A 24919-nucleotide genomic window follows, 5' to 3' on the forward strand; every position below is an offset into this window, starting at 1 on the left:
AGAAAAGGGAACACATGAGTGCCCAGTTCGCCTTTAAAAAATGACAGTCTTCAACCTGATTTCCACCTTGTGTTCTTGGCTGTGCCCACTCTCCATCCAGGTATATGGGCATGGGGGTTAAGCCACTGCCCTGTGACTCTGTACTGTTGATGCAAACCATGCAAATAACTAAAGAAGAAAAGGCATCACACTTGTTTTGTTCATGGCCTTTGTCAAATCTCTACTGGCTCTTCTTTGTGTGATCATAGGCTTAGTGGACCTTTCCAAGGTGTTAAGGATGAACATGTTGATCAATGGCCTGATCCTATCCCACGTGTGCTAGCTTTTAGAGCCCCACCCCCCAACAACTCCTATTAAGTAGGCATGGGGACACTTCCCCCATCCTTCTAGATACAGATGATGGAAAAGGGGTGGCTATCACACCAAGCTGGCTAATAAGAATGTCTCTCCTGGGAATTTGGAATCAGGACTCAGCCTTGGTTGGGCATTAGTGATGTGGCATTGGGTGAGAAGTGATGAAAACTGGGTCTGGTTGAATCTTGCTTGGACCGTGTGTAGTGCAGTTGAGAAAGCTGGTCTGCAGAGCCACGGAGGAAGAGGAGGAAAAGGAGAAGGTGGAGAAGGTGGCTGCCAATACACAGAGAAACAGAGACAAGAGCCTAAGTGGCCACAGAGAGAGGAAGACAAGAGAAAAAGAGAGACAGTGAGAAGAACTAATCCTGATAATCTTCTAGAAACTGGTTCCAATTCCTTTTGAAGCCTAGCTATGCTTCATGCCTTTTGGGATCCATTCACATTTCCTGAATTAGTCAAAGCCTTACTGTATTTCAGCTAACTTGAGTTGGTTCTGTTTCTTGCCAAACATTCCTAACTATGACAGTATTTGTCACCTTCCAATGTGCCGTCCTTTATACCCTTCATCTCACACTTTAGACAGCACTTTGAGGCAGAACTGTCCAATAGAACTTTCTGTTTCCGTGATAATGCAAATGTGTTATATCTATGGTGTTGAATATGGTACACACTAGCCACATGTGGCTATTGAGCATTTGAAATGTGGCTAATGTGACTGAGGAACAGAATTCTACATTTTATTTAATTTTAATGAATTTAAACTTAAATAGGTGCTCACAGCTACCACACTGGATGGCACAGCTCTGAAGTCTTCGATGCCCTCTTCTCCACTAACTTGTTGATCCTCACGAAAATCTGCTGAGGTTTATAGATTTATAATAGGTCTAATAGATTTATAGTGGGTATCATTCTTCCTGGGTCTCCAAGAGATACAATTACTTGCCTAACAAGATCCCATAGCTAGCTGGAGCATGCTGTTAGATTGAAATCCAGTTTGTTGACTCCTAGCAAATGCTTTCTCTACATGGCCATATATTCCCAAAAGTAATGGACTTCGACTTGTCTTTCCTACTGGTTTACAAAGCTTGTTTTCCCCAAAGCTTCTATCCACATATTCCCCAAAGACTGCTGTATAGATTGGTCGGAGGTGAAGGCTATGTTCCGTGGCCTTGAAATAGAGAGGAGATAACTGATCCACTCATAGGTCAAGCCCCAACAAAATGAGCCAACAGCTGTGGCCAGATTCAGAAGAGCCCAACACGGAATCTGTTAAAATGGGCTTGGAGCATGATCCCACTAACTGTTTTTTCCCTGCCTGTAAGGGGTTCTGCCATTCCACACTCAAACAGGGCTTGATGGTACTTTCAACCTTAAGTTATTGAGGCCAATATACCTAAGACATCCTGATTCCCCCTTATCAACTCTGCTCTTCGCTCAGAATTGCTAACCAGGCGGTGGAATCCCCGCCCCACCCCCAGTCCCAAGGCCTCTGGCTCTCTGCCTGCTCACTTCCTCCCTCTTAACCCCACCCTCTTCCTAACAGGTTTTCACTGAAATGCCATATCCGCAAGGTGGGTTTTTTTTTTCCTATTCACAGGACATTGACCTTTGACCCACTCCCCACCAAAGAGATCCATGTGGAAAAGCAGGTCACATGAAACTTTCTGCCTGAGACAGTCTGTGAAATCACACTTCTGGGTACCCTGGAATAGCACCTGTAAGGATATCAACACAGAAACTCTGCAAAGTCTAGGGAAAGAATGGAGTGATCTCTTTTCCTAAAGAATACCTTCCTAAAAGAGACTTAGCTTGCCTGAAAACAGGCTTAAGAAACCTGAGGGTTTTAGAAGGAAATTTCCAAAATAAAAGAATGAGCTGAAGGTTGGAAATACAGAGAAAGGGTGGTGAGGACTTGTTTTTTAAAAAAACAGACAATAGTCCTTCTATGTCTCAAATGCTTAATTGCTGACAGTAAAACAGTAACCACCAAACAGCTGCCCCCTCATGTCTTGAACAAATGAGACTTGCTCTTCTATTAATCTGATAATGAGGGTACCATCAATGCCCACAGTCCTCAGAGCAACTTTCTTTCATGGCCATACATACCCTTGGTGCCACTAATCCTTCTGTTTTCCCTCAGCCAGGAGTGTCTGCTTGCATGGACACCATTGTGGAAACCTTCCTCCGCACCTGTGCCAGGCTCTTGTGGATGCCATCAACAAACCCCTCTGACACCTCTGACGGGAGCATGTGAATAACACCGAATAATCACAACAAATCCTCCTCATCATAAAGCCTTGCGTGGACTGGCACTCGCAAATATTTAAATAAATATTAAAACACTGTTGGAAATTTGGGAATTTTTCTTCTAGAGATACTCATATAACAAATTTGAAGATATGTTTTTTTTTTTTTTTTGAGACAGGAAGATCACCTGAACCTGGGAGGTCGAGGCTGCAGTGAGCCATGATCATGCCACTGCTGGAGTGGTGTGGTGTGATCATGGCTCACTGCAGCCTCGACCTCCCAGGTTCAAACGATCCTCCTGTCTCAGCCTTCTAAGTACCAGGGACCGTAGGTGCATGCCACAATGCCTGGCTAAGTATTTTATCTTGTATTTTGTAGAGACATGGTCTCACTTTGTTGCCTAGGCTGGTCTTGAACTCCTGACCTCAAGCAATCCTCCCGCTCTGGCCTGATACCAGTCTCTTGAACTGGAAGGACAGGTGGTATTATCTCCATTTTACAGACAAGGAAACAGAGACTCAGATCTCCTAGTGCTTGATTCAAATTTGTAAATGATTCTGACATGGTCAGACATGAGGCTGTCTCTTTAGGTCAAACTTTTGAATCTAAAATGAAGCTTTCTTAAGAAGAAATAGGTTGATCAGGTAGGCCCCCCCCCATGTTTAAAGACAATGGCAATCCAGGATGGATAATAACAGATGTATCATGCCACTGAACGACAGAACAAAGAGGCACCCATCTGTGTCTTTTCCTGAGTGTGAGATGCCATATTGGCGCAGGTACCTGAGAGTTTTGAAATTAAAAAGGGAACTGTAAATGCACCTGGACTTACTTTCCCAGCCCAGAGCCCCCTTGGGACCCCTGCCCATAATTTATGCTGTGGGCTAATCAAATAGTTAGAACAGTGCTTAGCCAATGTGAACTCAGGGATCTTGTTAAAATGCAGGTTCTGATTAGGCTGGTCTAACAGTCTCCCAGGTGGTACTGAATCTACTGGTCCATGGATGACACTCAAAGCATCAAGGCCTGATCTAACTAAGTGATCTTGTTAGAAATGTAGACTCTCAGGCTTCACCCCAAACCTGGTAGATCTAAGTGTGCATTTTAACAAAATCTCAAAAGTATATGATCTGAGAAGTGCTGGGTTGGAGGGCTGCCTGCCTGGCTGAGTAAAGGAATGAATAAACAAACTTCCATTTATTGTTTTGTCAACAGATTGTTTCATAAACAGTCTTCAGTTGAGTGTGGGTATGTTCGAGAAAAAAAAATGAGAGATACTGTTTTGAATACAATCGCCTTGACAGATGGTGACAATGACCAGGTCTTTTGATCTGGACTGACTTGTATAGCCCAGCACCCAGCACCTAGGAGGTCTCCAGTGAATACCTTTTCATAAATGCCAGGTAGAGGGCAGCTGCTGCTATTGCGGCCTCAAGCAGAAAGGTTTCTTTGGCTGAATAAACTGTAGCACTAGCAACAACACAGTGGTTATTTTCTGTCCTGTTTCAGTCTCCAAAAAAAAAAAAAAAAAAAAAAGTCATAAAGTTTTCCTTCTAAGTAGAAATGGAAAGTAAATTCTATGTCATGAACTGCACCCATGACAATTCTGGTTGTTAATAAATATTTGAAACCAATGGTTCATTTGATCAATAAACATTTACTAAAAGCTTTTTATGTGTCAGACACAGGGCTAGGCACTAAGGACATAGAGTTCATAAAAATGTGGTCCCTGTCTATGAAGAATTCACAATTTGGTATGTAGTTTTGAGGTTAGTTATTGACTTTTGCTTTTAATACTATAAAGTTCAATGCACCAACATGCATACTGATGTGACTCCTTCAGAGTATTACTTAGGTCAGGGATGAAACAGGACAATAAAGGGTGAGGTCTTTGGAAAGAGAAAAACAGAAATCTAAATAAATAGCACAAAACTGACAGAAGTTCCATGTGCTCTCCATATTTTCTGCCTAATAGATCAATTATAACAATAAAACATGTGCACTATAAAAACATGCAGAGAGAATTCGGCTGGGCTGCAAGGGAATGTTGACAAGGTAGCTAAGCAACGCACTGGCAAGGAAAGTTCTAATTTTTCTTTTCCTATTGATGTCTTTTGCCTCATTAGTTGAGAAATCAAAGAGTCCTTGCCAGGGATAAGGAAGAAATAAAACAACTCTCCCAGTCACTCCTGAGAGATCCATCTTCTCTAGCCAGGCCCACCTCTAAGAGACCTTGGTGGTACTGAAGGGTGAGGGGGTTAGGAAAGGAGAGGGACTGAAGCTGATACCAGTTGCAGGAAAGGCAGTTCAATATCTTATCTGTGAGGTGGAGGACTCCTCCTGGCAGGATCAGCTGCCAGGATGATTCATTTCCTATAGGAAGGCCATAAGAGAAATGCCCCAGAAACACCCCGCATGAAGGAGGTTTAGTGTCATCTTCATTGCCAGGCACAGAGCTGACTTAACTGAATGTTTGCTGAATGAATGAGTAAATGACAGTGAATTACGAACATTTTACATCACAGTGAAACCACAAAAGAGGAACCAAAGTGGATCTCCTGTCTTCAGTTATTTGGGGACTCTATGTCAATCTGTAAGCTCACTGCCAACTCACTGAGGCCGCTGGGATACCCTGAAGTAACAAGTCTGCCTCCTGAAAGGACAAGACTTCAGCTCAACTTTTCTTTCAAATGAGCTGCTCCATTCCTCTGTGTTATCTGAAATTCCACCTCTTCAGAATCAAAGAATGACCAGTCTGATTTCTCATTTTCCCACTATATTGTTCTCTTTATAGCTGGAATAGTCCTTGGAATCGTCCTCCCACTTCCCAAATATTGAATTAAAGTAGATTGGGTTTTTATTTTAGAGGGGTGTATGTATGTGTGTATCATAAAATGAACATCGTCTGACCTTTCCAGGATCCAATAAAGGATGTGCCTAAGATGCAATTCCATCAGCCCTTATGCACTGTTTACCTTATGCCTACTTAGTAGGTGCCATCTTTGCCCACAGGACAACCCCAGAATGGAAGAGATTCCTGCCTGAGAAGCAGCTTTGCTATTTTTTTCCCCAACGAATTCAACTCCTCAACTTTGAGCTGTCATATCACTGCATTTTGTTACATTAGTTGGGAGAAACCTTGCTGCCTCATTTTAATCTTCAAAGATATGCATGGTTTCAGAGCTTAGAATGCTCACATTATTTCTGAACACAGATGAAGTTAGTACAAATAGGTGTAACCGTACAGAAGTCTGTCACAGGACTATTCTGCTCATCTTCTAGCTCTTCAATGGTCGTTTGAATTGCATTCTTGCTGTTTCACAGGCTTATTGTTTTGGTCATCAGTGCAGACATTCTAGCATCAAATGTGTAAGTAAATAGTGCCAAAATGAAAGCATTACCTGTAACCTTATACACTGTAGCAGCAGCAACAGCTACAATAGATGAATGCACAGGTGTTTTCAGCAAAAACCTATAATGATTCATCATCATTCAGAAGAGGACACTTAGTGGTGAGAAAGAATGGAAAGAGTAAAAGAAAAGAGTGGGATTTGTTTGGTATGGTTTGAAACATTACCTACTGACAGTCCATGGAACAAAAGACAGAGTTTTAAAAAATGTTTTCTGAAATAAAGAGAATAATGTTCCTTCTGGACACCAGTACCAACTAGCTTAGATTCCCAACAATGACAAAGATGAAGACCTTTTGGTCAAACCTTGGGCAGGGTTGATCCAATCTTACTGCAGTTGTAAAAATAAATAGTAAAGTAAAATTATTACAGGATAAAAGCTCAGATGACCTATTTAATCTTATAAAGATTATAAATCTTATAATGACATCCTACTGATTATACTGATTTTTTTTAAAAGAAAGAGAAACTTCTCTAAGTCAGTGAGAGATTTGGTATATTATTTCCAGATATTTAGACTAGCTGGAAAATATTCATTTTTGTGGCTTAAAGAAAGACACGTGAATTGAAAAAAACAATATCTAAGTCAGGTGAGGGTAGAAGAATGGGGGATGGGATGAGAACTACAGATAAAGCTTAAGTTATAGCTGAAATAAAAAATTAAGGCAGGTAAAAAATGTAAGTATTTTTACTTTTTAAAGCATGAGTGTATATCAGCTGATATGATGTCACTCTGAACCTTGAACGGATATTGAGATAAGTATTTTTACTTTATAAAGCATGGGTGTATATCAGCTGATATGATATCACTCTGAACCTTCAGTGGATACTGGGATAAAGGTCATTGTCAGTTACCCTTTCTTTTTCTTTGAAACAGCGTATGTCAATCCTTTCTTGGAAAAGTCTTAAAGGAAAAAGGTTCAAATTCAAGGAAGTTGGATCCTGTAACTGACAACAGACTTGTTTACTCTTAGCCACTAAGTGAACTTGAGTCTCAAAGTCTGAAAAATTTCTAGCCCTAGCACCATGAGAACTTATGTATGACATCTGGAACCATTGCAAAAGATCTTTGCAGGAAGGTGGAGAACACAAAATGGGCAAGAAGACTGGAAATTCGAAAATACAGTTTGAATTTTCAAAAGATCATAAGTTTAAGTTTGACAGGGGATAGGTAAAATTAACACCAAGAGCAGGCAAGATTAAGAGGCACTAAAGCCCAGTGGCTAACAGCACACAGCTTTTGCAGGGTTGCTGCAAGAATTCAAACAGTTTACGTAAAACACTTAGCATTAGCAAGTACTGAATATAGTATAGTGGTTGTTGCTATCATCATGTTCATCATTTGAATCATATTATGATACAAGTTTTACTAGAGAGTCAGATTCTTGAGAGACCAGTCACCTAGAATCTATCTTAGGATGCCTAAAATTCTAATTATATAATATTAACAATGGTATTTATTAAGGACTTCCTATTTATTTTAGTTTTCACAACCTTATGAATAGGTATTATTATTATTATACCTAATTTACGCTTAAGGAAACTGAGACACAGTGAGATTGAAGCTATATCCTGATCACAGAACCAGTAAGTAGCCAAGCTGACTCCAAACCTCTTACCACCTACTTAAAAGTGCCTCTTTAGACAGTTGGGTAGTTAAAGAAAAAAAACAAAACAGAGGAAGTTCTGGGGTACACCTAAGGGGGTCAGGGAGGAAATGGGAGAAACAGAGACCTAGCCCTATGTACATTGTCATGTGCCACTCCAGAAGAGATCTATTTCTGGAAACTTCGCGGTCTAGATTCAAAAGACCTGGATTCAAATTCTGGCAATGACTTTAGCTGGCTATGTCTTTGAACAGACACTTTTTATGAATCTCAGTTTTGTCTTCTTTAAAGATGATGGTGGCTGGGCACAGTGACTCACGTCTGTAATCCTAACACTTTGGGAAGCTGAGCCAGGCTGATTGCTTGAGCCCAGGAGTTCGAGACCAGCCTAGGCAACATGGCAAAACCTCATCTCTACAAAAAATACAAAAATTAGCCCAGTGGGACACGCCTGTAGTCCCAGCTACTTGGGAGGCTGAGGTGGGAGGATCACCTGAGCCTGGGGATGTCCAGACTGCAGTGAGCCATGATTGCACCACCGTGCTCCAGCCTGGGCAGCAGCATGAGACCCTGTCTCAAAAAAAAGAAAAAAGAAAAAAATAATAAGGATAACGGTTAATGGTGCTTACCTTTATTGTAAGGTTACTGTGAAAATTAGAAGAGATATTGCCAGTGAAAGTGCTTCACAAATGGAAAACAATTATATGGTTATTGACATAGTGACTGATAAAAGAAACTATGACTTTTGACTTAATATCAAGAAATGATGTGAGAAACAGAAAATGATTCAGTTCAATGCAAATGTGTGTTTACGAATAAGAAATAGGCAGGAGGTGGTAGGGGTGGGGGGCACGGTGGCAATGGAAGCCCTGCATAGGAGGAAAGAAAGAAAGAAAATGCTTCATTCTTGCTTAATTTGGGTGGACTTCTAATTCTCAGGCAAAAAGAAATAATATTAACCTCAGTGATTTGATAATGAGTTAACAATATTCCCCAACATTTATAACACACTTACCCTAATATTTTGAGGGAGTTCCAGTATTTTTTTGCATATAATAAATCTAATGCAATATGGCTTATTTCATGAATTTGGGCAAATTATATCCACCATGCCCTCCCACTAATCCCTCAAACACTTTTCAGAATAGCATATAAATACTCTACATTTAACACATTACATTCCTGGTTATAATCCAGTTACAACCTCTGTATTCTGATAACAGAAATGACTTTCTAAACTGTTTAAAAAGTTATTTTTTATATTAGCTCATTTTCATGCTGCTGATAAAGACATACCTGAAAATGGGAACAAAAAGAGGTTTAATTGGACTTACAGTTCCACATGGCTGGGGAGGCCTCAGAATCATGGCGGGAGGTGGAAGACACTTCTTACATGGCAGCAGCAAGAGAAAAATGAGGAAGAAGCAAAAAAAGAGACCCCTGATAAACCCATCAGATCTCGTGAGACTTATTCACTATCACGAGAATAGCATGGGAAAGACTGGCCCCCATGATTCAATTATCTCCCCCTGGGTCCCTGCCATAGCATGTGAGAACTCTGGGAGATATAATTCAAGTTGAGATTTGGGTGGGGACACAGCCAAACCATATCATTCTGCCCCTGGCCCCTCCAAATCTCACGACCTCACATTTCAAAACCAATCATGCCTTCCCAACAGTCACCCAAAGTCTTAACTCATTTCAGCATTAACCCAAAAGTCCATAGTCCAAAGTCTCATCTGAGACAAGGCAAGTCCCTTCCACCTATAAGCCTGCAAAGTCAACAGCAAGCTAGTTAATTCCTAGACACAATGTGCGTACAGGTATTGGGTAAATACAGCTGTTCCAAATGGGAGAAATTGGCCAAAACAAAGGGGTTACAGGGCCCATGCAAGTCCGAAATCCAGCAGGGCAGTCAAATTTTAAAGCTCCAAAATGATCTCCTTTGACTCCAGGTCTGACATCCAGGTCATGCTGCTGCAAGAAGTGGGTTCCCATTATTTTGGGAAGCTCCACCCCTGTGGCTTTGCAGGGTACAGCCTCCCTGCTGGCTGCTTTCATGGGCTGGCATTAAGTGTGTGTGGCTTTTCCAGGTGCACAGTGCAAGCTGTCAGTGGATCTACCATTCTGGGGTCTGGAAGACGATGGCCCTCTTCTTACAGCTCCACCAAGCAGTGCCCCAGTAGGGACTCTGTGTGGGGGCTCCAACCCCACATTTCCCTTCTGCACTGCCCTAGCGGAGGTTCTCCATGAGGGTCCCGCCCCTGCAGCAAACTTTTGCCTGGGTATCCAGGCATGTCCACACATCTTCTGAAATCTAGGGGGAGGTTTCCAAACCTCAATTCTTGACTTCTGTGCACCCACAGGCTCAACACCACGTGGAAACTGCCAAGGCCTGGGGCTTCCACCCTCTGAAGCCACACCCTGAGCTCTACGTTGGCCCTTTCGGCCACAGCTGGAATGGCTGGGACACAGGGCACCAAGTTCCTAGGCTGCATACAGCACGGGGATCCTGGGACCGGCCCACAAAACCACTTTTTCCTGCTGGGCCTCTGGGCCTGTGATGGGTGGGGCAGCCATGAAGATCTCTGACATGGCCTGGAGACATTTTCCCCATGGTCTTAGGGATTAACATTAGGCTCCTTGCTCCTTATGCAGCCGACTTGAATTTCTCCTCAAAAAATGGGTTTTTCTTTTCTACTGCATCGTCAGGCTGCAAATTTTCTGAACTTTTACGCTCTGTTTCTCTTTTAAAACAGAATGCATTTAACAGCACCCAAGTTACCTTCTGAAAGCTTTGCTGCTTAGAAATTTCTTCCGCCAGTTACCCTAAATCATCTCTCTCAAGTTCAAAGTTCCACAAATCTCTAGGGCCACCAGTCTCTTTGCTAAAATATAACAAGAGTCACCTTTGCTCCAGTTCCCAACAAGTTCCTCATCTCCATCTGAGACCACTTCAGCCTGGACCTTATTGTTCACATCACTATCAGCATTTTTGTCAAAGCCATTCAACAAGTCTTTAGGAGGTTCCAAACTTTCCCACATTTTCCTGTCTTCTGAACCCTTCACATTGTTCCAACCTCTGCCTGTTACCCAGTTCCAAAGTCACTTCCACATTTTCGGGTATCTTTTCAGCAACGCCTCACTCTACTGGTACCAATTTACTATATTTGTCCATTTTCATGCTGCTGATAAAAACATACCCAAAACTGGGAAGAAAAAAGGGGTTTAATTGGACTTAGAGTTCCACATGGTTGGGGAGGCCTCAGAATCATAGTGGGAGGCAGAAGGCACTTCTTATACGGCAGCAGCAAGAGAAAATGAGGAAGAAGCAAAAGCAGAAACCCCTGATAAACCCATCAGATCTCGTGAGACTTATTCACTATCACAAGAATAGCACGGGAAAGACCGGCCCTTATGATTCAATTATCTCCCCTTGGGTCCGTCCTACAATATGTGGGAATTTTGGGAGATAAAATTCAAGTTGAGATTTGGGTGGGGACACAGCCAAACCATATCATTCCTGTTATCATTCCTGTTATCAGAATCCAGAGATCCTGCCAGAAGGATTAAGTCTGCATTTCTAGAAACTCTCAAGAGAGAACAGACAACCATCTAGCTAGATGATTTCTCATTTTTCTACATGAAAAACAGGTACACAAAGCAGGTAACCCTGAGATAAAATTGAGACAAATAATTAATGATTCTACCCACTCTATTCTCTCAAACATGCCAATAACAAGTTAAAAAAAAAGTTTGAAATGAAATTGAGTCAGACATGTAATTGCAAACCATGTATCCTCCTCAAAGACTGAAAAGAGGTCTACCTTTAGAGCCAGAAAGATGCAGGTCTGAGTCCAGACTCTGCCCCTTGACCAGTTACCCTTGTGGGCTAAATGCTTTCTCTTTGTGCTTTAATTTCTTTCTTTGTTGTTAGGGTGCTAATACCAATATCACAGTGGGTTTTGGGGATAAGTGAGATAATATAAGTAAAGATAGGTAAATGTCAAGTGTTAAATTTATTAATCTGGATTTCTCCTATGATCAGATTTCAGGTGGTGTGATGATCAATAGGAGTCCCAACCATAATGTGCTCTTTCTTTGACTTCTTCCCCACAAGACCTAAGCACATGACCCTCAAAAAGTGTAAAATCTTGAGGCACCTCAGAGGGAAGCACCATTTCCCCACTCGTGGTTTGGATGAGGAAGAATTTTCCCTATGCATCCTACTATCCTCTCTATGTCCTTTTACTAACATCGCCCCAGGGCAAGTGGAGGGATGGATTCACTTAGTTGGCAAACCGCACATGCTCAGCTGGCTCAGCCTGACCTTTTTTCCTCCTGCGAAGTGCCTGCTTTCAAGTGTGCTACCTGCTGCTTCCCCAGCTTTCTGCCTTTATGAATGGAATTGGTCTGCTCTCACCAGTGCTACATGGGAAAGGGTGGGCAAATCCAGAGTTTAGAGTTAACAGGCCCATTGGTTAACAGTCTGGCTTCCATAAGAAACAAAGTTGATTTTTGTTTTTGTTGTTGTATTGTTACTATCAACTTCTTTGAAGCCACATAGGGAAGAGTGGTGTGACTTGTTTATTAGGGCTCTATTGGAGAACTAACATTGTTAAGTTGTGCAGAGTGGCTTGGCTATGCAAAGTTAGCTGTTTTTGTTAGCAGAGACTCTTCGTGACATTAGTTCAACAAGAACTCTGTTTAAGACATAACTTACTCATCTGCAGAAAGTCTGTCTACACACCAGAAATGCATAGCCTTCTCAAGAGATTTCTCAGCTAAGAAAGAAAACCTAGTCATAGGGTGCATTTGTACCAGTTACTGCTCAGTGGCAGACACACAGAGACAGACTGCTCAGAACAGAGTCCCCCATCATCTATGAAGTGCTTCTGAATCCTCCACAATTGACAGTGAGCTTTAGGCCTGACAGTCCCATGCCCCTGTATGTGGCTACTGTCTGGGAACATGATTATCAGAAGCTTTCTCCAGGGAACTGAAAAACTTTCTATCCACTCAGATAAGGCCTCTCCCTTGCCCAGCCTCGATTTCCTCAAACTTCTCTCTGGCTTAACTTCAACTCCTGGTAAAGCAGAGGGAACAAGGTACCAAAAGAAGGAGCAAGAAGGACGGGATGGCTGGTCATCGTGTGCACCTTGCATGCACATCTCTGATGCGAATGCCCCAGGACCACATACTGTGCTGTATTTCTTTGCTCACATGTCTGGCCCCTCCATCAGTTTATGAGGGTTGGGAGCACACCCTAGACTTCACTGCATCCCTGGTACCTAACACAGGACCCAGCAGAAACAGGAACTCAGTAACTTTTTGTGGTTAAACTGTGTATCTAAATGATTGTTAATCAAATACCGCACAGATAAACAGTTCTTTCTCCAGTTGAGAGGACTAGGCCCCCATAATCATAATGAGACAATGGACAAAAGGAATCTTTTCAGAAAACAGAACTACTTCATGCAAAGATCAACAGTGGCTACTGGACATGATGTTTCCCAGGCCAATCTAAACAGCTCCCATGTTTTCATTTTCTAGCATTCAGTGAAAAGTCAGCTCCTTTGGAAGCATGCCCACTGGCTTAAAACAATGTTTAAAAAGTCATGGTAGAACTTTGTAAAGATCTTTGCAATACCACGCAAAGACCTTTACCTTTGTGCTTTGTTTAAAAAATAAGTTTTAAAAATATACCTCAGAGGAAAAAATAATGGGGAAGAGAGCAAGCTAATCAACTTGGGAATTTTTCTTTTTTTGTAGAGATGGGGGTCTTGCCATGTTGCCCAGGCTGGTCTTGAAATCCTGGGCTCAAGCAGTCCTCCTGCCTCAGCCTCCCTAGATGCTGGGATTACAGGGATGAGTCACAGTGCCTGGCTGGGAATTTTTTTTCTAATACGAGAAAAAAAATGTATCATCTCACCTCCTTTAGTGAAAACTCAACTTCTGTGACTTTGGTGTCCATGCCCAAGCTTCTGTCTCTGTTGCATCCACTCTTGTTGCCTTTGTACCCTTCAGTGACAGCATCCTGGCCCCTAACCTGTCTCCCTCAATCATCCCACACAACACCACGACATTAATTTTCCTCGAACTTTGATCCTGCTACCCATTCCGTGTGCATCTGCTAGGGAGGCCTGATAGCAAGGTCATGGCTGACAGGATTGTACAGCAGGAAGAACTTCTGAACATCAGTTAATTCAATAGAGCCTCTTAATTTATTAAAAACAAAAACAAACAGCTAGTGCCCAGAAAACTGAAGTGAATATTTAAAGGTTCACAGTTAGGACAGACCTGGGGCTGAAAACAAAGCCTCAACCTCAGTGCCTGTGTTCTTTCCACTAGGCAATGGATCTGTTTAATACTTCAGCAAGTCTGACACTTAATGGCCCTTCAAAACTTCCCCCCTCCCTTTTCGTGCCAGGCGTGGTAGCTGACACCTAGAATTTCAGCACTTTGGGAAGCCAAGGCAGGAGGATCGCTTGAAGCCAGGAATTAGAGACCAGCCTGGGCAACAAAGCAACACCTTCCCCCTCCCCCAGCCATCTCTGCAAAACAAAACAAAACAAAATTAGCCTGGCACGGTGGCACACACCTATGGTCCCAGCTATCTGGGAGGCTGAGGCAGGAGGAGGATCACATGAGCCTAGGAGTTCGAGGCCACAATGAACTATAATCATGTCACTGCATTCCAGCATGGGCACAGAGTGAGACCCTGTCTCTTAAAAGAAAAAAAAAAAAAAGAAAAGAAAACTACCCCAACTTAACTGTCTTTTTAGATCTATGGAGAGATGTAGATATAGATATTATTCATATTCCTGGTGATTTTTAAGCCTTTTAAAGCAACATAGCTCCTTTGTTCCTCCAAATGAAGTTTTATGCAGGCCCTCAATTTTATAAAAATAAATAAAAATTATTTATCTCTTCTGCAGCTGAAGCAGGGTGTCTACTCCTCTCAACAGCCACTGAAACACCTCTGAGAACTTTCAGGTTTCGCTTGATCAATCGGACAACTCCCCAGACCCCTAATGCTGACTGCACTTGTCAGTGGCTAAATCCCTGCCCCTGCCCTTTCTTTTGCCTTCCGCCTGCCATAATCCTCCAGCCTCCAGGCGACTTCTCCCTACAGTGCTGTTAGGAAGTGACTCTTGTCTCTCCTTTGCTCCAAAGCTCTGAATCTGTAGCCCTTCCTTTGTATCTAAACAGTCCGATTTGTTGGTTATTCTCACAGCTCACCCCCAACTTCTGGCCCATCTATAATCAGGGCCCACCCACCCATCTGTTAGCCCTGTGGGCCCATCAAAGCAGGCTTCAAACACAAGCTGCCACCTCTGGTGGAGGTTCAGCCTACCCCTTCCCCTTCTCTCCTGACCCTTCCCTAATCTGGCTTTGTTTCTGCCATCCCTGCCGCACTCATTTGGAACCCTTGCTTTTCTCAGCAAATATTTATGGGTTTGACTTGTTCTTATTGAGTTCTATACTCTTCCCCCAGCACTGCCTCCCCCTGGCCTTTTATCTTTTGTTTGTTTGTTTTTTTCTCTTTCACTTTTCCCCTTTTGAGCTCTGGCGGCTCTGGTAGAAGGTGGTGGCTGCTGAAGGAAAAAATACAACCCCTTCTCACCCTGAACCATCTGTCCACGGACTAACTAGTAAGTTCCCTCTGGGTTTCCTGGGGACACTCGGAAATGGCAGAAAGACCAAGATCACTTGCACCTGGGGTGCAAGTTTAAAATGCAGACTCTAGCATCCCACCCCTCACCAGTGGATGTGTGGACTCTGCTGCTCTCCAGGATTTAAGAGCTCCCTGAGCCAGGGAGTCTGACATGCCTGGCCTGGCATATCCAGTGGTCCATGGGCCAAAAGTCATTTCCTGAGGCGAATAGGCAGGAGACAAAAGTGGTCATCTGAAGAGTTGTATTTCCAGCAGTAAGAATGGCAGAAAAAGTCCTTGGGGGAAAGGAGAATTAACCTGAATCATTATTGGGAATATACAACATGGCCCTGCCCCTACTGGTCTACACCACCTGTGGAGAGGCTAGTTCAATGAACCACCCCTGCGCTTTGTGGCTCTTGGTCACTGTGTTGTATAGACTGGTCGTTAAGTAAATGGATCTGAGATCAGACTGCCCGATTTTGACTCCCAAATCTACCATTTCTAGAGTGTGGGCTCTGGAGCTTACTATATCACATTGCTCAACGTTAGCTTCCTCTTCTTCCATTTCTGTAAAATGGAGATAAAATATCCATCTCAAAGGGCTGCCATGAGAGTTAAATTACATTATCCAAATAAAGCATTTGATATAGCAGCAAGCGCAAGGTAAGTTTGTAATATGCATTAGCTTTAATTCTTATCACTAACATCATGCTTTCTTGAACTTACTCATATACATATGTCTCCCTCCTTCTGGATAGGGAACTCCTGAAAAGCAGATCCCACAGGCTGCTACGTTCCCTCTCTCCTAAAACACTCTTAGTGGGTTATACCTTGCAGGATTGTGGTGATCAACTAAGACAGTAGGTGAAGAGAGGTTAGCAGCGGGTCTGGCACACTGTAGGCCAGAAAGAATCATCCCGAGTCCAAGGGTGCTTTTTAAATACCAAATATCTTAATCCTGATGTTTTTATGTAACCACAATGTGTAGACTTGTCAAAAATGTTAAAAATAGAAGAAACCAAAAATCAAAGAGAAAAATCTTCTCATAGTTTCTAATCCAACTTGCATGGAAATAGTTATCTTGCAAAAGAGTGAAGGGTGTAAATTTTTTCATTCATTTAGGGGAGTTGTTTTGGTTTTTCTTGTTTTATTCTTTGGGTAGTTTATTTGTTTTTCCCACACTATTTTTTTTTTAATGACAAGTAAGGGTGACACCACTTTTCTTAAAAACAATAAAAGCTACAGAAAAAAAAAAGGCTTTAAAAGTCTCCAAAGGCCTCAGGAACTTTTGCCCAGAGAAGTGTACTCCTCAAGCAAAGCCATGGAAAACAACATCTGCCACAGGCGCAGGGCTGAGCCAAACCCCTGCGGCGAGGGCTCGCTTTATTTTTGGTCCAAGCTGACAGTACAGGAAGCCACATCCACTGACTTCTTTTTCATTTAAGATTCTACATTCATCAATACGTCTTGTTAGGTAAGCCTCCAGTGGATTTCCTCTATTTGGTCTAAGAAATCTGAAGAGGAAAAACAGAAACACACAGTCACCATTCCTAGGAAAATAGTATCAGCCCAGCAAGAGACCAAAACAGGTATCTGGTAAAAGCTCCCACTCTATTCTCTTTAAACTGCACTTTATTCTAAAAAAAAAAAAAAAAAAAAAAAAAAAGAGCTCCCTGAGTTTAAACAGTGTTTGATTTTATATAAGCACCAGATGATTCTAATTCCTTTTGGAAAAAGGTGGTGGAGGATTCCATAAAAACTCTGATAATCATTTCTTCTACCAACTTTAGTCAACAAAAAAATTGAAAGGCTTAACGTAGGTGAAAACTGAAAAATACAGAGTTCCGCAAACACAAGTTAAGACTGTCATTTTTAAAAAGAAGCATCTAAAAGTCACTTTGGTGCATCTCAAATGCACGTCTTTACATAACTGATCAAGATACAAACCATTTGCAAACATTTATGTTTTAAATCACAGATAGCTATTCCAACTCAGAGATTTTAAGTGATTACACAATGAACTGGTCCTCATTTGCTCTCCCTTAATTTTCCCTAACCTTGCATGGCTTCTAGAAAAAGACAAAAACTGACAGACAAGGGTAGTATGGCCAAGGAGCCCTGATTTATTTCAGCTTTGAAAGGCCACTACACTTGGATTCTCATTTCTGCAAGGAATGCAATCCAGAGAGCTGAGCTCGCTGTCCTGAATAAAGTACACGTTTTTCTCATCTAGCGGAGTAATCTTGTGAAATGTGAGTACAATCTGCCCAGTGTCTGAGGGAGGCAAAGGGGGAGGGTGGGGTCGTGCTGGGACACAGAGGAGTCACTCCCTGTTTGGAGAGCCACGCTCCTAGAGCACCAGGCTCACAGGAGGGCACAGGCAGGAGGCAGGATCCTGGCCTTCACGGTGCCCAGGAAAGAGAAGCTGTCCAAGCTGGACAAGCAGAGAGGGACCTGTTGCCCTGAGAGCTAGTCGCTAAACTAATCCACATCAAGGAGGGCCATGGGCCTCTGGGGCAACACAGGGACCTGACAATAGAAAGCAAGGGGCAGTGTGGGAAGGAATCTAGCACCTTCTCCAACCAAGAGGTCAGCCCCAAACAGGGGATGTTGGTGATGGACCCCATCAAGACATTCCCTCAGCTTCATCAGAGGTCATGCACTCTCCCCAGTTCCACACACACCCCACCTTGCTCACAAGCAGAAGGGGAAAGAAGGCACCTTGGCATTCATTTGGGAAGCTGCCAAGACAGTCTAATCTTTCAAATGGGGCATCTAACCTGATAGCAGCCACAGTGCAATAGACTACATGTGTTCAAATTCTAACCTCCAATGTGATGGCATTAAAAGGTGGGACCTTTGGAAGATAGTTTGGTTATGAGGGCTCTACCCTAATGAATGAGATTAGCCATTATAAAAGGGACCCCAGAAAGCTTTCTACCCTCAAGAGGGCCCACACCAGAACCCAATCATGCTGGTACCCTGATATTGGATTTCCAGCTTCCAGAACTATGAGAAATAGATTTTCTGTTGTTTATAAGCCACCCAGTCTAAGGTATCTTGTTACAGGTAGCCTGTAAGACACACAGATATTTACACGATCTCATTTTTATTATAGTCTAGGTTTACAATGCATTTAATTTTATAAAGCCTTGTATGGGAAGGAGATAAAGTAATAGTGATAATAATTTATATTTCCTCCAACCATATCTAGTAAACACAAATGGGTCCTTTTAAGTAAAGTTTCTTTCTGACTAATAAGGAAATAAATGTATACCTCATTACTGTATGACCTCCCAGAAGCTCATGAGTTCTGAGGATTTAGAAGAAATTATTCAAGTGGAACTTCCCTAGACATCATGGGCCCAAACTGACTCCTTATACCAGAGATTACTTTTTAATTCCTCTCATCAAGGCTGGCTGAATAAACCTTACCCATGTCAGCACACAAGTGAAGGCAATGACATTTTTTAATGGCATAATCCAGGTCATCATACCCTAGAATAGTCACCATGATGCATGTGCCTGCTGATTAGAACCTTCGTATCATTCCTGTTGCAAGACACATAGCTACTTCCTGTTCTGGAAGTTTTGGAGGGGTGAGAAAAAGAAGGGCAAGAAGGGAAGAGACATTCATGACAAAATCTGGAAAGGCTCTTTGAGGAGCTATAGCCTCTCCTTCTCAGGCAGTAGCAAATAGTCTCATCAAAACAAACTTTGAAATCTAGAATGAAGATTTTGAAAAGAAATCCACTGTTATATATGAAATGTTAAAACATGCGTACTTTTTCCCTCAGCAAACCCACCTTTAACAATCTATCAAAACACAAATGTATTGGGTTATGGTGCCAGGCAGATTTCTAAGGTGGCTCCTAGTGATCTCTGTCTCCTGGCATCCATGCTTTTGTATAATGCTCTGATTGAGTGAAGGCTGGACCCAGAGACTGACTTCTAGTGAACAGAATACAGCAAAAGGGATGGGGCACTCTTCTGAGATTAGCTTATAAAACACTGTGACCTCTCTTGCTCACACACTCTTGCTCTCGCTTTGATGATGCCAGCTGCCATGTTGTGAGCTCTCCTCCTGAGAGGCCCACATAGCAAGGAACTGAAGGTGCCTTCCAGCTAAAAGCCAGCCAGTGAGGAGCAAAGGCCCTCAGGCCAACAGTTCACCAGGATCTGAATCCTGCCAATGACCACTGAGTAAGCTCCGAGGCGGCTCCTTCCCAGTCAAACCTTGATACAGCTGCAGCCTCAGCCTTGGGAGAGATCCTGAACCGGAGAACCCAGCTACGCTGTACTCTGCCTGCTGACCCAAAAAAACTGCGAGATAATAAACGTTGTTGTTTTTAAACCACTGCATTGGAGGGGATTCTGTTATGAAGCAATAGATAAATCATACAGCTGTTTAAGCCTCATTGTTTATAATCACATACAAAAGGAAACAACCAAAAGTCCATTCATTGATAACTAGTATAATCAAGAATGGCATATCCACATAAGAAATATTGGGCAGCCCTCAAAACACAGGGAGGTCAATATATCTGTATTGATATGAAAAGAAGTTCATGAAAATCAAAAAGCAAATTGCAAAACAACATGTGACTTTTAAAAAATGGCAGATATCGACATCCATTCCTGTAAACTCCAGATAAGCTCCTCACCCAGTGTTCTCATTTCAGAAAACAATTCTAGTAGTCTAGTTGCTCTGTCTAATCAATTTGAAAGTATATCATTTACTTCAAATTGCCAACACATCCCAAACTCCTCACACCCTCCACCACAACTACTCTTGTCCACACCACCAGATTCTCTCTCTTTACAGCTGCCATTGACTGGGCTGGTTGCACTGCCTCCACTTCTGCTCCTCGGCAAACTATTATTTCCAGACAGGAGCCAGAGTGGTACTTTAAAGATATAAGTGAAATCAGGCCACTGCCCTCTTCAAGCCCTACAATGGCTTCCCATCACACTCAGAATAAAAACAAATGTTGCTATATTGGTTTACAAAGTCATGATCTACAGATCTGGCCCCTGGATACCTCTCCTTCCCCTACGATTCTCTCCCTTACTTATCTGCTCTATCCACAGTGGCCTCCCTGATGTTTCTACAACATGCCAAGTCTTCTATCACTTCAAGGCTGTATTAGTTTGCTAGGCCTGCCATAACAAAGTACTCAAAACTAGGTGGCTTAAAGAATAGAAATGTACTGTCTCAGTTTTGGAGACAAGAAATCTGAAATCAAGGTGTTGGCTGGGCAATGCTTTCTCTGAAGGCACTAGGGAGAAATCTGTTTCATGTTTCCGTCTTTGTTTCTGGTGGGGTTTTTTGGTATCTTCAGTGTTCCTTGGCTTGTAGACTCAGCACCTCAATCTCTACCTTCATCTTCACAAGTTATCCTTCCTGTGTGTATGTCTATCTCCAAATTTTCCCTTTTTATGAGGATAGCAGTCATTTTAGATTAGAGGCCCACCCGACTCCAGTATGACCTCATGTTAACTGATTATTTTCTGCAATAACCCTGTTTTCAAATAAGGTCATGTTAAAAGGTATTGCAGGTTAGGAATTCTACATATGAATTTGGGATGGGGAACATAATTCAACCCCAAAACAACTGCCTTTGCAATCACTGTCCCCTCTTCCTGAAAAGCTCTTTACCCAGTGTGGCTGCCATGAGACTATGCCTTGTAGACATCCAACTTACAAGGAGTATTACTGGCTAGGAGTTACAGCTGCTGTGCTCTGAAATCCATCTCTGCATTTGTGCTGAAGCCACATTTCTCACAGGCTACTCCTAGATAGTGACTGAGCATGGCAGGCATAGTGATGCAAACCTATTCCTGGGAGATGAAAACTTACCTAAGAGGTGGCTTGGACTCAAAGACTCCTCCAAGAGATCCAGGCTCTCTTGAAACAGCACAGCCCTGTAGGATGCTTCCGCTCACCCTCCTCCCTCCCGTCTTCTTCACCTGGGGTCAGACCTGCATCACAATCAGAGGAGTCTCCCGAGCTCCCAGCAGCTCACTCCTACTTTCCCTCATAGTCAGACAGGGCATTCAAAAGGGCTCTGTGCTTGGTTGAATACTCCTCTGCAGCCATCTTGGAATTCTTAATGTTATTTTGAACAAGGAGCCCCACATTTTCATTGTTTCCTTGACCTCACTCTTGCTCACAGGAGTTGCCTTAATAAATCTCTTGCATAGCCAATCCTGCCTTGGCGTAATGCTTCTTGGAGAAAACGGACTCACACCCCAGATACCAGCATGATTCTTCATTACTGCATGTAAGCCTGTGCTCAAAGGTCACTCCTCAGAGAGGTTTCCTTTGCCACCCTAATAAAGCACATGACCCAAACCAGTCCCTCTCTCTCCCATTCTCCTGCTTTAATTTTCTTCATCGCTCCAGCTGATTTTACTATATGTTTTACTTATTGTTTGTTTTGTCTTTCCCATGAGAATGTAAACTATACAGGAGCAAAGACACAGTGTTATTTATTGTTGTGCCCCAGCACCTATGACAAAGTCAGGAACATGATAGGTGGCCAATAAATGGTTTGTGAGTGAATTAATTTACATTAAAAATGTCAGTCTGAATTTACCCAGATCCTCTTTCAGTTCCAAAATATAAGCCATGGCAGCCATCACAAGAATGTACCTCATATACCTGTAAGACATAACTGTTCTTCTTAATGCAGGCCAGAAATGAAGCCAGAATCCAAAGCTAAACCAATAAGAATGAGAGCAAATACTGCTATCACCCAGAGGGGTGTTGAATCTGGATACAGCTGCTTAGGGGTTTAGGGCTGGGATGCCCATTTGAGAACAGGTGACATGGCCCAAGGCTCATGCAAGGTAAGATGCTGGAACTGACATAACTGCATCAAGTCAGAATTCTTCAAAATATCCATTTACATAAAAACAGGACTAGAAGAACTACCACTGCTCCAAGTAGCTCAGGGAAGGGGGAAGTAAGTCTGAATTGTGCTCCAGTATCAGGGTGAAAAAAAATGCATCCGATTAAAAAAACTAAATAGAACACCAAGCCTATGTCATGCACAAGTGTGTTGCACAAATTTACATTGTTTAGGCTGTGTAAGTATCTTGAACTAATAGATCACTATAAAAATGTTCCCAGAACCAGGGAAGAAGCAAACTCAAATTGTTCTGTAGAAATATTTTCATAACTCAGGACCTACAAGACTCCCTCAGAATAAACAATTCCTGCTGAATAAACCCACAAAGAATGAAGCCAGTCAGAAGGAGAAGCCACGTACACAATGAGCAGAAGAATTAGCACCTCTAAGAACTTACAGTAAGAGAATAATCTGACAGGATCTATAAGCTAATTACGTTTAAAAGTTTTTTTTAACATAAAAGAAGGAATAAAAACCATAATAAAAGAACCATCCTTTATGAACAAAGGGCAACTTTGAAAAAAAGAACTAATTTGAATTCTTAAAGATGAGAAAAACATGTTAAATTGCATATTAGATACAGCTGAAAAGAGAATTACCATCATGAAAGATGGGTCTAAAGAAGTGTTCTGAATGGAGCAGAGAAAGAAAAAAGGGATCAAAAAATGTGAAAGAGAGGTTATAAACACAGAGAGTAAATTGGGGAAATAAAACACATTTAATTGAAGTTCTGGAGAAGGAGTAGGTTATGTGAGAGTGGCAATACTGAAATGATAAAAGCTGAGAATTTAATAGCATTAAAGCAATACATATGTTCTTGATTTAGAAAATTACAAGTCCCAAGCAGGATTAAAAAGACACACACACACACACACACACACACACACACACACACACACAGCGGTAAATGGCAGAACACTAGCACCAAAGAGAAAGTCATACAAGCAACCAGAGAGAAAAAGATAAATTACAAACTTAATAATGGCAATTAGATTGGTGGTGGACTTTTCATCAATAATACAGAGGCCAGATGATAATGAAATGACATTCAAAGTGGTAATAAAAAAACCTGTCAAACTAATATTCTATACCTAATTAAGTTGCTGCTCAAAAATGGGGGTATTTTAACCTGTTTTACGCTGCTATAACAGAATAACACAGACTAATTTACACAGAACAGAAATTTATTTCCTCACAGGTCTGGAGGCTGGGAAGTCCAAGAGCAAGGCACCAGCAACTACTGTCACATCATGGCAGAAGGCATCATATGGGCAAGAGAGAGAGAGGGAAGGAGGCTAAACTCATCCTTTATAAGAAACCCCTTCCTTTAATAACAAACCCACTCCTACTACAATGAACTTACTCCCATGATAATGGCATTAATCCATTCATGAGGGCAGAACCTTCAGGACCTAATCACCTCTTAAACTTCCCACCTCTCAACACTGATGCATTGAGGATTAAGTTTCTAGCACATGAATTTTAGGAGACATATTCAAACAGAGGGTGAAATAAAAACATATTCATACCAAAAAAGAGAGACTATCCAATTCATAGACCCTTGCTGAAAGAAATATTAAAGAATAATAACTTCGATATGAAGGAAACTAAGAAAAAGATAAATAAGCAATGATAAGCAAAGAAGACAAACATGTTAGTATATTTATAAACACCCCTACTCAAAAAAAATTTTTAAGATTAATAGGGAAAGGCATTATAAACAACTTGAAACTAAAACATCAGATAGCAATAATATGAAAGAGTGATTAACTTAAAGTACTCTATGGCCCTTGCATTACGTGATAGGGGAATAGAAATTTTGAATAACTTAAAACTTTTTAAAAGCTAAGCTCGTGCTTTGGGAGGCCAAGGCAGGAGGTTTGCTTCAGGCCAGGAGTTTAAGGCCAGCCTGGGCAACATAGTGAGACCTAGTCTCTACAAAAAGTTTTAAAAATTAGCTGGATGTGGTGGTACGTATCTATAGTCCTAGCTACTTGAGAAGCTGAGGCAGGAGAATTGCTTTAGCCCAGGAATTCAAGGTAACAGTGAGCTATGACTGCACTACTGCACTTCAGCCTGGGCAACAGAGCAAGATACTGTCTCTTTAAAAAAAAAAAAAAAAGGCTAAGCATTCATATTATTCATATAATATTTTCAGGGGAAATGAGGAAGGAAATGGGAGAGAAGAAATAGAATGCATAACTTTTTTTTTTCTTTGAGACAGAGTCTCACTCTGTTGCCCAGGCTGGAGTGTGGCGCAATCTCGGCTCACTGCAACTGCAACCTCTGCCTCCTGCCTCAGTCTCTCAAGTAACTGGGACTACAGGCACATGCCACCATGCCCAGCTATTTTTTTTTTTTTTTGAGACGGAGTCTCGCTCTGTCACCCAGGCTGGAGTGCAGTGACGCGATCTCGGCTCACTGCAAGCTCCGCCTCCTGGGTTCACGCCATTCTCCTGCCTCAGCCTCCGGAGTAGCTGGGACTACAGGCACCCGCCACCATGCTCGGCTAATTTTTTGCATTTTTTAGTAGAGACGGGGTTTCACAATGTTAGCCAGGATGGTCTTGATCTCCTGACCTTGTGATCCGACTGCCTCAGCCTCCCAAAGTGCTAGGATTACAGATGTGAGCCACCGTGCCTGGCCCCAGCTAATTTTTGTATTTTTAGTAGAGACAGGGTTTCACCATGTTGGCCAGGATGGTCTTGATCTCTTGATCTGCCTGCC

The 24919-nt window shown here is 42.2% G+C and overlaps 1 protein-coding gene across 6 annotated transcripts in view, besides 1 other annotated feature; it reads right to left on the reverse strand.

The window, feature by feature from the left end:
• Window positions 1–24919, reverse strand: part of MOB3B (MOB kinase activator 3B) — a 204606-nt gene that overhangs the window by 130553 nt on the left and 49134 nt on the right. The window contains exons 1-2 of one of the 6 annotated variants that reach the window (XM_047423894.1): window positions 16109–22552; window positions 15384–15571 (exon numbers count right to left, since the gene is read on the reverse strand). The exons of 3 other annotated variants lie outside the window; for them this stretch is intronic. The gene's annotated coding sequence lies outside the window, so the exon portion shown is untranslated. Of the gene's footprint in view, window positions 1–8952; window positions 10049–15383; window positions 22553–24919 lie in introns of those variants that run through there. 2 more of the 6 variants (XM_047423891.1, XM_047423893.1) reach the window with 2 other exon arrangements.
• Window positions 9488–9989: an enhancer, noted in NCBI's record as "H3K4me1 hESC enhancer chr9:27465247-27465748 (GRCh37/hg19 assembly coordinates)". NCBI's record gives its function as "activates a minimal SCP1, AML or CMV promoter by ChIP-STARR-seq in primed H9 embryonic stem cells {active_cell/tissue: H9 hESC(primed)}" and the evidence as "EXISTENCE:reporter gene assay evidence [ECO:0000049][PMID:30033119]".

The sequence above is a fragment of the Homo sapiens genome, chromosome 9 (genome assembly GCF_000001405.40).
Source record: "Homo sapiens chromosome 9, GRCh38.p14 Primary Assembly".
Taxonomy (NCBI): domain Eukaryota; kingdom Metazoa; phylum Chordata; class Mammalia; order Primates; family Hominidae; genus Homo; species Homo sapiens.